Raw genomic sequence first — 14,708 nt, 5'->3', positions numbered from 1 at the left:
GAAAAATAAGGATTTAACTGTGAATACTATTACCTCAAGAGAGAAATAAGCTCAGCCAACTTCTTATGTTATCAATATACACAGAAAAAGTGTACAGGTCCAAAAACATTAAGGAAGAAATGAAGCAAACAGGTAATAATATTTGATTTTTTTGTACTCCTCCTATTACCCCTGTTACTTATTTCTCCTCCTATTTTTACCCTTCTATTAATTGATGAGAAGATGACATTAAATGCCTAGGATGCATGGAAATAATTTGATAAACCAGAAATTAATTTTAGAGAACCTCAACTCTTTGAAAACAAATTGGCAGTTCAACTTTTTCCTGGTAGAAAGTCACTAAAAGCCACTTTCATATTCACTTTTTTACAAAGGCTTGTACTGTTAAGTATAAATTTGAAATCGGCCTCAGGCATGATAAAAGTATATTAGTATTGCTTTATTTTTATATTTTTGTGGCAGGGTCTTGCTCTGTCACTCAGGCTGGAGTACAGTTGCATGATCAGAGCTCACTGCAGCCTCAAACTCCTAAGCTCAAGTGATTCTCCCACCTCAGCCTCCTGAATAGTTGGGAATACAGGCAAGTGCCACTGCACCCAACTAATTTTCAATTTTTTTTTTGTAGAGATGGGATCTTGCTATGTTGCCCAGGCTGGGCTCCAACTCTTGCCTCAAAGTGATCCTCCTGCCTCTGCCTCTCCCAAAGTGTTGGGATTACAGGCATGAGCCACTGGTGCCCAGTTGGTATTGCTTTATTTGAGTAGTCTTAATCTCGCCTTGGTTGTTATCATGATGCCCTCCTTATATTTTTCTTTAATTGTTTAAAATTTTCCATACACATAAAATAATGTATATATTCATTTACATGGAGATATATTTACATGAGATGTTACTGATATTCATTGTGTAAGATATAATATTGCACAGAAATGGTTTTTTAGTTACTTATTTCATAAAATGCATATTTTTCAACAAGTATTTAATGAACCTTATTATGTGTATGAAAGGTCTGGAGTTTATAATGTAACTTTTAAGGATTGGTGGGTACACAGCAGTGCTCCACGCTCATTTCTTTGCTGACTTCATTTAACTATTTTGTATTTAAAAAAAAAAAAAGGCAAGAAATTGGCCTTTAAAATTTGACAACACCTGAGAGACATAACATGAGTCAGTGTTCAGAATCAGCCTGGCTGGGCCAGCAGTGCAGGTCTCTCCTGGGTGGTTTGCTCCCAGGATTTCCAAGGCTGTGAACACGATCAGGAAGATAAGATTATTTGACTTTCTAGTGGTTTTCAGAAAGAGAGAGTTTTTCAAAATGAATAACTATATTTTTAAAAGCCTTTTTCCCTAAAAGCAGTAGTATTTGGTGATAAATTGAATGCTTCTCACTGAACTGAACATATCATGATATAGATAGAAACCTCAGTCTGGGAAAAAAAATGCACATGGCACCTTTCATAGGATCATAAGACGAGCTATTTCTGATACTTAAAGCATCTAGATTGTAGAGAAGGAATTTCTGTTAAGGCAGGTTCCTTTTTTTGAGATACAAATGATATGTTTCATACAAGACATTGTCATAAAATACACCTGTCTTGTTTATACATTGCTATTATTGGTTCATAAAATAGAAATTTACATAACTATCTTTTACATAGAAAAAATGGTACACACATATAGAAGGAGCACAGATACAGTGTCTTGTAAAAGTAATTTACTTATCAGAGACACATGGATGGCTCTTAGCTCCACTCTTGTATTTAAGGTTAAGTGAAAAAATACAGAAAATACTGTTAGGAGAGATTCTTTCCTAATTTATGAATGGCTTGGTAAAAAAAAATTATTTTTTACCTTTTCTGTTTATTTGTTTGCTTGCTTGTTTTTCAGTTTATCACACAAATTGCCTGGCAAAGTACAGTTTCTCCTGATGAGTTAGTTCCACCTCTAGGGTTCCTTCTTGCCATTCCATTTGGGGAGAAATGGAAAAATGATAGGCTTTGGAAGAAGACAAGTTGTGTCTTTATATTATTCATATTATCTTTAAAGGGACAGTTAGAAATTCTGACTTGTGTCCTTGCTTTCAATCTCTGTCTCTACAAATTGAATTCTTAAAAACCTTTCAGGGACTCTGAGATCCTTGTGAAATGAGGTTCAAACTCTTGAATGTGAGCGAGAGGGCATTCCCAGTGTACCTCCTTTCTGCCTCGCCAGCCTTCTCTTGACCCGTTTCCCCCTTTTACTCTATACCTCCTCCCAAATGTCAATGTTTACCTCTCCTCTATCCCCCAGTGTGTGCTTTTTCACCCCCTTTACTGCCTAGAAAGTCCTGTTCTCCAAGACCATAAAGTCTTCTCTGATTTGTCCACATGGACTCATCACTTCTTTCTTTGTTTTCATATGATGAGTTCACTGAAGGCAGGAATCATGACTTGATTATCTTTGCATCACAGGTGCCAAGCTGAGCTTAGACTTAGTGCATGATGGGCTTTTTGGAAACATTTGTTGAATGAATAAATGAGCCCAATGACCAAGATGCACACAATTCACAAAATTGAAAGGAAAAAGTAGGAAATGGGAAACTGAGAACAATTTGAATGGCATGTAAGTAATGGGATGTCAATCAAGAGTCATGTTGTAAAAATGAAGTGCTTAAAGAATACCTAAATAAACCCATGGACTTGGAAATCATGGTTTTAGGAAGGACTTTATTTTTCAAAGGAATATACGGGGCTATAAAGTCACATTTTTAAAGGTAGTAGACTCTTCTAATTGTGCTTTTACAAGATTTTAATTTTATAAATGATTCCCCCTCCCCATTTTCATTAGTGTATCTTATTTACTTCAGTAATTCAGGAAAACATTTTATAGCAGTGTTCTATTTAGTATTAGCACATCTGCTCCCAGAAAGGCTTCTATCTATAATAAGAACATTCTGTGATTTAGATTTAATCTAATATTTGTCTTACTTCACACACTGGATAAACAGGGCTCATTAGCATCAAACATGCAGAATCTTTGTTTTTCATGACTGCAAAGCTGACCTTTGAAATGTAATCTTGTGTTCCCAAGATTAGTATCCAATAAATCACAACATGCATTATAACTATCTTACCCCCTCCCCCACTCCCTTTTCAAATACAAACATATGCGTGCATGCATACAAACACACACACAGTTGCTTAAGAGCTCAAAGATTTGTGGCATTTTGGGAAGTTTTTAACTCTTGGTTTCTGAAAAATGATAAATAAGATGTTATCTCATGATGATATTTATACCATCATATCTTAGTAACCAAGACTAGGAATAGAGAGAGATATAAGATGCCTTATGCAACAAGAGATGACTATTAAAGAACAAGGTATATGAATTAAGTTTACATATCCAGTAACTTAAGTATATATGTTTGATATACCTGTTTCATAATAGGATTAAAATATATATTAACATGATTAAGAGTTAAACATTTTTTGGGGAAGTGTTTGTATTTAACAAAGTGTTTTGGTTTCTTAATTTTTTCCTTCAAATTGAATGCAAAGTGACATTTAATATGGCTCTACATTTTATAGCTCAGACTTAATTTAAGGATTTTCTAGCTCATATATTTTTGTCATTGTAGATATTTTTAAAGCATATTTCTGTAACGTTTTCAAATATTGATACTTAAATATTTACTAATAGTATTTTGTCTATGTCTCACAGTTTTTTTAAGTTTTAACATTTTGAAAAGATTTATGACATTTATAATATAACTCATATATGAGAATGGCTAAAATATTATGAAATGATTTTTTAAACTGGGTTTGAGCTATTTCAGTAAGATATTAGCAAGGGCCAATACATTATTCAAAGGCAACAGGGATTCTTTCTTTAGCTTTCTAAATAGCTAAGACAGAAGCTTAGAAACATTTTAATAATAAACCACTACAGAAGTAAACATGTTCTGCAAACAAATTAGGTCATGGTTGCATGTAAGAAGAGCGTCAAAAACACACAAAGTGAGTAAGTATGATTTCTGAAGTAAGCATTAAAATTCAACATACACTGCTTCATATAATGTTGAAGCTTTATCTGCAAAATGAGGAAGTTGGAGAGATTTTTGCAGCAATTTAAAATATGGAAATAGCTCTCTTCTGGCTGATTTATGACGTGTGCAGAGTAGTGAATGAAAGAACTAGAGTTTAGCCTGGGAATACTTTTTCCACCAAATAACATTTCAGGTTTAATCCTGCAGTGTGGTTTCATCTATTTCTCATCTCCTTTCTTACCCATGCCAAAACTGCCCTGTAACGAGTCTCAGATCAAATAGGAAAGTTGGCCAACAGGCTGGAGTTGCAGGACTGGTCATCCAACCTAATTACTAACTTTGGGCAAAGCCAAACCTAACACACCTCAGGGAGACAGTTATTTATAATACACACTTTAAAATATTGAGTAAATGTCAGAGGTTCCAAGAGTTTGAAACGCAGTCAGACTGGACCTGACTTTAGATGCAGGCAGAACAATCTGAGTATCTAATTTTCCTGCTCCATAAAATGAAGTCAAATGAGACTTCATAGAGGATTAAATGAGAAAAGCCTGCAAAGTGCCCAACACAAAACATGGCACACAGTAGTTTCCAAAAAATCAGGTGTATTCTCTATATTTTAAAAAAAATTGTGGCTTTCATTTTTATACCTCTTACAAATAGAAAACTTTTTTTTATTTATATATAATAATCCTGCAAGAAGGACCTTTCACATTATTTCTTACCCCTCCAAGCACTATTCCATTCAGACATAGTCTATCTTTTAGGGTGCCCCATAAACTAGACCAGTAGTTTTAAAATTGTTTAACGGTAGCACCAAGACTCTTTTTTCCAAATGAAATCTTATGCTGAATCCTAGTAGATAAAGATATGACTCATATCAGAACAGTTGTGCTGAAGCATGGAATGAGTGGTTGGGTAGGAGGAGCACAGTAGCCCAAGGACTCCTGTATTACTGAGTGTGAAGAATCTTGAACATGAACAATGCTGATTCAATAGAAATCCACAGACCCTGGAGAGGTGCAATGTACAGCTCTATTTTAAGATTAAGAGGAAGTACTGATGATAATCTTTAAAAAAATCAGCTGGATGACTAACCTAATAACTGGATAGTTACAAATATCTCTGTGTCTATGTTTTATTTGGGTTCACAATCATGTTGGCTTCCAGCCCTCATCTAAATTGATAACGCTTAACAGATAATATATCGTTAAGTATTGCCGTGTATCCTAATTTCAAAGATGATAATCATCCAATGTCCATTATATTCACGTTAAATTATTTTTACCAGTTATAGAAATGAAACTTTTCTTCCTAAGGGATAATTACTGCTTGAAAAACATTTTTATTGAATGACTTTTGTGTTTCGAGTTATTTAATAAACTGAGATTTGGATGTGACATTATAAAAACTGCAAAGTGCGATAGGATAATATACAAAAGTAATTATCCTTGGCTAGAGAGAAAACAATAAAGGTAGAATTAATCTGTGGGTTTTGTGTAAAACTAATGCCAACCGTCTTTATTCCTGTGCTTCTACAGGGCCCACTCTGGGAACACAAGAATGAAGATAAGCAGTCATTACAATGGAAGAAAGTGGTGTGGCAGAGGTATGGTACCCCAACAGCACATGGTGGTGTAAGCTTGCTGAAGTCAAAGGGACCTGTTGAAAGAGGTTTAGTCATGACTAGGCTCTGAAAGACTCTGCACTAGATCTGTACCCAGCGTTGATTCTCCATTAACATTTTCTAGCCTCATTTCCTTTGGGTGTTTCCCTCCCATTAATCTTTTTAATGGTCCCTCTGTGAATGTGCCTTGCCTCCTGGGTCACTCTCAGACATTTTAACAGAGATCACCCAGAGACAATGCTTGAAGCCCAGAGAACTGAACTAGTGGGAATATAATCTGTCTTTGCCGGCTGTTGGGAAAGGGAGGTAGCACTCCTTAAATCACATCCCTAGATGGCTGTCTATCTTATTTAATCAGAGAAGAACTCACTGGCTCTCCTGAACACCTGATTCATTGATTCCTCCTACACCTTTCCCCACATCTTAGTGTTTGTCTTTCCTACTAAAACACTCTCAATTTCCTCAGGCTTTATTTATAAAGTCTATATTTATATTCCAAAGCCTTTATCAGTTGTATTCAATTGTGGGGGCACAAACAATACTACGATCAATTCTGTGGTTCACAAAGCAAAACAGAATGTTTTCTCAGTTGTAAAATGCTATCAGTTGCTAAACCCACATTGATTTCATACCAGCTTTTCAGGGGAAAAAAAAAAAAGAAACCATATGTATTAAGTGTACATGATCAGTTTCTAGATGCATCCCAACTTAATCCTGATTTCAGAAACATTAACCGGAAGAAACCTGGCCTTTAAGAATAGAGGAATTAAGGTAAGTGACTAAGGCCAGGATCATACTCTCATGCTCTTAAGCTACTTGGGAGGGAAACCATGGGCAGGTGCAGGGTTTGTCCAAATGTTTTCTGCTGAATCCTAAAGGTTTTGGAAAACCTCCTCACTGGTCTCCCTGCTCCTGCCTTTGACCACCTATCACCTGTTTTCAGAACAGCACTGCGATCCTTCTACAGTCTGGTGGTGTATGTCTACTGCTTATGAGCCCTCACTCCGAGGAAATCCAGTGGTGTGCTGAAGCCAGCTCATACCAGCTCAAGAGAGCTGACAAATTTTGCAAGCTTGAGAAACGCAGCCATTCTTAAAAATTAAATTACATAAACATATAATTATATACATTATATTTAAAACATAGGTAACTCATTCTCAAAACTCATCCCTTCCTATTACGCTTTACTATATCATCTATGCTCTTGCAGCTATTTACATCTATTTTATCTATATGTAAGAAATACTATATGAGCGTTGGTACCGCTGCACTTCCCTTCCCAGCTCCACATTCAGCAACGTCCTGCTTAGTCTCAGCCCTGGTGTGACTGTTTCCACTATAGCAATTGACAAATGCTACAAATCAAAGTCAAATCTCTTCCCCTTCATTCCCCCAAGAGCTGATTGTTAAACATTTACTAGCATACTGCTGAGTAAAACAAAGTCCTTACACAGGTCTACAAGGCACTCTGAGATCTGGCTCGCTTCCCTCTACTCAAGCCACACTGGTGTCCTTGCAAGGGCAGACTCATTGCACAACTCCAGGGGGCACTGGTCACAGTGTTTTCTGTGTATGGTGCTTCTCCTGCCCACTGCCCTCAGCCAAGTTGTGTAATTTGGAGAAACGATTCTTACCTGGGTCTGGACAAAGCCAAATACAGTCCTGTCTCCAGGCTTTGCACCTGCTGTTTCTCCTGCCTGTAATGCTATTCCCCCACAACCCCTGCCCTATTGCTCCTTCACCGCCTTCAGTTGTCTGCTCAAAGGTCACCTTGTCAGTGAAGCTTTCCCTGACCACGCCATTTAAAGGAGCAAACATCCCCTACCCCTCCTTTGGCTCTCCTAGGCTCCCTTCTCTGCTTTATTTTTCTTCAGAGCACTTATCACCAACTGACATACTGCATCTTTTACTTTTTACTTCATTGTTGTCCCTTTTTTTTCTCCAGAATGTAAGCTCCAACACAGCTCAGGCTTTGTTTTGTGCATTAGATACCAACGACCTGGAATAGTGGCTTGCATATAGTAGGTGCTCAGTAATATTATTGAATAAATGAGTGAATATATGAGGATATTAACAAGAATTCTGATTTTATACATATATGCACACACATATATTGTAATTTTAAATGTATATATATATACACATACATATATGCAAGTGTACACACACACACACACACACACACACACATACATAATGTATATACAGGCCAGGAATTTGAATATCTAGATTTGAGTTATGGCTGTGATGCTGATGGACACTTCTTACTGGAGGTTTAGTCGAGGAGCCTGCTTATGCCCAGAGACACTCTCTGAAGCAGAAGTAAAGCACAGGAAGTGTTTCTTTGGCATATAGTAGGTTTCTCTTTCTGCTAGAACAACATATGGGAGCCTGACTCTGTTGAACTCCCTTAGAGACAGGAAATTTTCTCATCACTGAAGGAAATCAAGGCAGGAACTTAAACTAGTTCAAGAAAGGTGGCTATAGCTAAAGAAGGGAGAATAAACTTCAAAAAGCAATAGAAACCTTGACTAAAAGAGAAAGTATGAGTTTTCCTGAACAGGGACACAAGACATGAGAAACAAGAAAAGAATAATGCAGGGCAAATAGAAAAAGAGAAGGAGAAACGCCATATGTTCACATGAAATGATTTGGGATTGGCAAAAGTGAAGATCTGTCAATATCTAAGACTCTCCTGATCGTCTCTGTATTAGTCCATTCTCATGCTGCTATAAAGAACTTCCCGAGACTGGGTAATTTATAAAGGAATGAGGTTTAATTGATTCATAGTTCTGTACGGCTGGGGAGACCTCAGGAAACTTAAAATAATGGCAGAAGGGGAAGCAAACATATCCATTTTCATATGGCAGCAGGAGAGAGAACTGCCAAGCAAAGGGGGAAAAGCCCTTTATAAAATCATCAGATCTTGTGAGAACTCACTCACTATCACGAGAACAGCAGCATGTGGAAACTGCCCCTATGATTCCATTATCTCCCACTGGGTCCCTCCTATGACACTTGGGGATTATGAGAACTACAATTCAAGATGAGATTTGGGTGGGGACACAGACAAACCACATCAGTCACCATTCTTCTTCATATTTCTTCCATATTCAATAATTTTAATAATCTAATAATAGGCAATTTTACATTAAAATCTTCCTTTTACATGGACTTTAGAAATCATTTTGGATATGTTAAAGCAGAAACATATCTCAAACATTACAACCTTCATTTCAAAAAGTTTTCAATGTTTCCAAATTACATGTCCTCAGGAAAATAATTTTCCAAGCATGCTCCTACTCATATGCCAATAACCTCCAAATCTATATTCAGAAATCATCTTCACCTATGAAAAACCAGATGTATTTGTGTTATTCATTTGCCCCAATGAGTAATTGCAATAAATGGGAAGCTGGCCTAAAATGGGGCATCCTATAGGCAGAACTGAGAATTGACCGTTGGTCCATGGTGCCTGCTGAAGTTTAAGTGTTCTTTCCTTTCTCTACCACTTACTTTGTTCTCTTCTTGTCTGCAGGTCCTAACACTGAACCTGGCATAGAGCAAGTGTTTGGTAAATATGTTCTGAGCCAACAAATGAAGGAGTCCAATAAACAGGATGACTTGATTTGCCTTGACCACCTCTTCTTCCTCTTCCCATGATTCTTTATGAGCATGTGTGATTTAGGTAATTGTTCTCTAAGCCCTATATTGTAAATGGTAATTAAGACCAATGATAGAAGCCAAATTCCGAGTGACATTTCTTCTTCAGGAATAATAAAAGTTGGTTATAACATCTACCCTTGATGTTATTCACCTACTCAAATAATTGCCTGGGATTTCCATTTGTTAATGACATAGAATTATTATTCAGGATACAACACCTTTGGAATTATAATTAAGCCCTGGGTTTCTCTGACCAAGCCACACTATGTGTCTGGTGCTAAAAGCAGAGTCAGTGAGGTGGAGTCCATAATGAGTGATTTTCCTGTGCATTATAAATCATTTAGGGGAAGAAAGCAGTCTTATTATTAGGCAGAATGCTTGTGCAGCTATGTTGGATACCAAGTAAGGAACAATGATTGTTATGGAATTAACAAGATATTAACGTCGCTGCTCCTTAGTGCACTGCAAGGGTAATTGAAATACTCCAATGCTCAAGTAATCTCATGGGCTTCAGAAACATAGTACTGTATTTGGGGGGGAAAAGAACCCCAAACTCTGTTATGTCTCATTTTCATTAAAATAATAATAATAATAAGAGATCAACTCATTATGACAGTGCCTTGAAGGTTGACAAAGAAGTTGATGTTAACATGCTCACCTAACCTGGGCAGCAGCTTGTTAGAACAACTGCTTTTGAAAACCATTACTCCTTTTAATTGCTGTCATCTTCACTCAAATATCCTTGAAGGCAGTGTCTAGGCAACTGTAGCCACAGAATCATCATCAGGGAAGATGGAAATAGGAAAGACCATGAGTTCATTCTCCATCGTAGAATACAAACGTAAGCGCTAATGTGAACACTTGCTTATTCAAGGCATACTTGTTTCAATGCTTAAAATGGAAAGTTATCTTCTGGGAAATGATCAATTATTGTAAGGAGGCAGGATAATATGACAGGAAAGAAACCAAGGGCTTTGGACAGCCATACATGGTCATATTTATTAACCATAAAAGCCTGCCCACCTTTTATGCATGTGAATTCTAAGCTCAATGTGTTCAGGGGCTCAGAATGAAATGTTAATATGTAAGGTCCCCTGTCCCCTTCCAACCCTTTGTGCACCTTTACATATGACAATTGGGACTTCTTTTAATTTTCTCTGGTTCTTTAGCTTTCTGAGTTTGGAGGCTGTATCTGTCTCGTTCACCACCGTAACACCAATATCAAGCGCAACTTCCAGAATGTAGTAGGCATTTCATTCATGTGCACTGATATGGTAAATGGGGGTGCTGTATAGATTAAAGGAGTTAAGATACATGAAGTTCCCAGCATCCAGGAACTATTTAGTTAACTATTTGTCTTCTCTCCCCAGTAAACACAATTTGTTAAAATGTCTAATTTATAACTAAATTACTAAATTATAACTAAATTACTAAAGCACTTAATGCTGATACTTATTATTTATAATTATCCTATATTTTCATATCAATCTCAGAAAATTAGGGGTTTCTAAACCTTGAGTCCTTACAATATTTCTATGAAATAGGTATGGGGCAATACAGGCCCCTCATTAAGAAATCTTGATACGTAAAATTAACTAATTCAGAGAGTGAAAAGAATCACCGTAGGACTTCTATAAATATTAAGCTATTTTTGTAAACTGAAAAAATATTCTTATTTACTATAATGTGATTTATAAATAGGACTACACAAACTGTATAAAGCTAAAATGTCTAATTTTTACAGTTTAAGAAAGTAGAAATGGTATAAATATCCTTCATCAAGCATCCACATAGAAATGTTCGTAGGTTTGTGTTGAGAACTTAGGAATTCCAGTTACTGGGCCAGGAATTTCTCCTTTAGAATACACAGGTTTCTATGAGCTACCAGTGTACACGTAAACAAAATCCTCACATCTCTTCTACCTGGATTACAGATCACCAAATTCTGGTCATGACTAGCTGGTTTGGGACCTGAGGAAGGGTCAATGAGTCTGTTCTCTGTGACTACGTAAAATGAAAGACTAGCCCAGAGGCAGAGAAATCAGGTTGAATGAAAGAAAAAGCAGTCCCTTTGTTTGAAGAGATTTATTTCCCCTTGCTTAAAAAATTCAGCTGGGACCATCTCCCTTGTAACAGTTGAACCTACATAATACTAAAGCTTTGACACCCCCCCACCAACCCCTTGCCTCTGACATAAACCTCATTACCAGTGCGTTTCAAATCTTTACAAAACCTTTAGGTGCAAAAAGGAGATAGCTAAATGGCCCCCTGGAGGACATTTGCAGCCACATGACTGTATTAAAATGTACAGGTCTATCTGCCTAAGTACTTGGAGAGGATGAAGTACATCCTTCAAAGTTATGATTTCATTCTATAAACCTATGGCCTGGTTTCCTTGGAGAGCACTTGTACACTTTCTATTTTCTCAGTTGAAATCAGATAAAATATTCCCAACACTGCCTTGAGTTTAAACTAGTTGGCTCTTATCACACATTTAACCATTTACTTATTGGAGACAATAGAGTTTAATGGTTGAGAATCAGACACACACTGATTCTCATGGCCGGTGGCCATGAACTAGCTTTTTGACTCTGAGTCAGCCATCTTACTTTTATGTCTCGTTTTCTAAACCTGCAAAATGGAAAAAAAAACAGTACTACCATTTAGAATTATTATGAAGATTACTTGAGACAATACATGGAAAGCATTAAGCTTGGCTTCTAACAAGACCTCAGTAACTATCATTTTTAATATTTTCTCTTCTGATTATTTTGGTTCTTGGTCTTATCTTTTTCACCTTGGTTGTGTAAAATTTGAAACCAGATAGGAATATGTAAGCTTCAATGGTAATATAGCTGGTTAGTCATTGTATGTCATAGCTTAAACTTCTATACGTACACCTGAGGAATAAATTTACTCCCAACCCCACCCACTATCCTAACCTATCCTACAAGATAAAATTCTGTATTTTTTAGACAGAACCAAACTTCCCAGCCTAATAGATCATGCCTAATGATTTAGGTTCAGTCTGCCTTTCCCACTTTCTAATGGTCATCTCTGCAGCTCAGCCAAGGAAAACTGTTTCCTGTTGAATATACCCCCGCCTGCTTCCTTACAATGAGCCTTTCTCCTACCAGTCTGACCAAATTAGATCTATTCTTCAAAGCCAAGGCCATATGATCCTTCCTCAAGCAAATCTTTCCCAATCTCTTTAAGACATCTTTTTGTCCTTGGAGTTTCCAAAGACAAGAAACATTCCATTTTTGAGAGAGAAGACTACACATGTAGATTTAATCCCAGAACCAAAATTTAGGTGTGTGCCATTTGGCTGGTCACTTTACCTTTCTTAGAATTTTTTTTTTAATTTAGAAAATGGGAATAAGAACACCATCTTGCTTTTTTTTTTTTTTTTTTTTTTTTTTTTGATAAAGCTAAGGTAAAAACCTTAGTTCTATGAATGGGTGAATGGGTAATAGTCACTGGGCTTTTTTTTTTTTTTTTTTTTAGACAGAGTCTTGTTCTGTCACTCAGGCTGGAGTGCAGTGGCGAGATCTCACTGCAACCTCTGTCTCCCAGGTTCAAGTGATTCTCGTGCCTCAGCCTTCCAAGTAGCTGGGACTACAGACATGTGCCACCACATCTGGCTACTTTTTGTATTTTTTAGTAGAGACAGGGTTTCACAATGTTGGCCAGGCTGGTCAAGAACTCCTGTCTTCAAGTGATCCTCTCACCTCAGGCTCCCAAAGTGCTGGGATTGCAGGCGTGAGATACTATGCCCGGCCTATAGTCACTGTTTAATAAAGGCCACCTAGCACGGTCTAAATACCTCACAAACAAGAAATCACTTCCTAGTTGGCTGGATTTGAATATTTTCCCTAACATCCTATGGCTCCTTCATTTACATATTTTATGCATTAGCTAAAGCTGCAGTTTGTTCAAGTAATAGTAAACAAGGTTATTGACACTGGAAAGCTTATTATCCTTGAAAACATGGAAACTTCACAATGCTGCATATTGTACAAGGTGCACACATATTTAAGGACATTCATCAAAGTCATTAGAGTGAATGGGGGTTGCTGGGAAATAGGAGTACTGGGTAAGAAGAAGGAAATGAAACAAGACTTGCAGGAATGGATGATAATAATGAGCTAGGAACTGAGAGTATGATTAACTTAACTTTTTTTTGGCTCCTGAGGGTCCATTTAAAAATAAAAACTCAAGACTCAGCAGCTCACAAATGTGAACTGTAGCATTCCCACTTGTGCTTTTTATTCATAGAACACAGACAATGGGTAACATTTTATGGCTGAAAAGTCTGTCACGTGGAGTTTATAAAGATCTTAGGTTAAAATTAGAAAAGTGACCTGCTCCATCAGAATGGTGTTCTTTGAACTTTATTTGAGATTGCCAATGTATTCCAAGGCCTGAGAAAAAGTTCTTAATGAAATTATGTGAAAAGAGCACACTTTCTTTCAAAAAACATTTTATGACAGGCTCTAAGAGTTGCCAAAGAGAATTAAGTATCTAATCAAATCCTCTGTGAGTGTGGGTAACTAATTAACAGGCCCAACTCCAATCACCACAGCCAGGAGGAGCTAGCAGAGCATTAACGTCCATTTTTGCATGTGCTATCATCAATAAAAATTAGGTATTAGGTAGCAGTAGTTTAACTGAAAAAAAAGGAAAAAGAAAATTCCTTTCTTTCGGCAATCTGTATCTACAGACAAAAATAAAAAGAAAATAAAATGGCACTTTTAATAAGAAGAGTGTCAGCTCCAAAAAGTATCATCCGTGATGCTACAGAGCCACATAAAAGATGTGCCAGTCATACTTAAGATAGCACTGATGCTTAACAAAAAAATAACACCTTAAAAATATGCAGCAAAGCAAAGATAAGAAAGCTTGGAAGCAAATTCTAAAAGAAAAGAATATGCAATTTTCCAGGCTGTCACTGTCCTTTAGGTATTAAGATGATGCTGTGGAAAGGGAACTTGGACCCAAAGTGTGTAACATAAGTTTTAAGGAGTTCAAAGTGAGTCAATCTGATAGCTGTTATTTGACCATCTGCATCTGGTTAATGAGTGTGTGTGCGAATTCCAGAGATCAACCTCACTACCACATCCTAGCGGAGGCTGCCAACAAATTAGGTCACCCTAGCACATTACAAGGAAGGCGGTAGATTGTTAAGAATTTGAAGAACTGTACTTTAGCAAATGAAATAACAATATATTTTTGTGAATTGGTAGCCCTCTAGGCATATATTTGAATCTCAAATACATTTTGAGTAGAAACTTACTAAATTACTTTGGAGTTATTTACCAAAGTTATTTTAATCATCTTCATTAAAAAACATGGCAATACCAAAGTCTGTAATCGACATTTTAGTTTTTT

General features: G+C 36.8%; 1 protein-coding gene across 4 annotated transcripts in view; it reads right to left on the bottom strand.

Annotated features, from left to right (window-relative positions):
- Positions 1 to 14,708, bottom strand: part of GPC6 (glypican 6) — a 1,191,492-nt gene that overhangs the window by 281,183 nt on the left and 895,601 nt on the right. Inside the window, exon 1 of one of the 4 annotated variants that reach the window (XM_017020302.2) lies at positions 7,286 to 12,715. The exons of the other annotated variants lie outside the window; for them this stretch is intronic. Coding sequence (XP_016875791.1) covers positions 7,286 to 7,469 — 184 coding nt within the window. The 5' untranslated portion in view covers positions 7,470 to 12,715. Of the gene's footprint in view, positions 1 to 7,285; positions 12,716 to 14,708 lie in introns of those variants that run through there. 4 annotated transcript variants of the gene reach the window in all.

This window comes from Homo sapiens, chromosome 13 (assembly GCF_000001405.40).
Source record: "Homo sapiens chromosome 13, GRCh38.p14 Primary Assembly".
Taxonomy (NCBI): Eukaryota; Metazoa; Chordata; class Mammalia; order Primates; family Hominidae; genus Homo; species Homo sapiens.
This window is presented reverse-complemented; position numbering and strand designations above follow the sequence as displayed.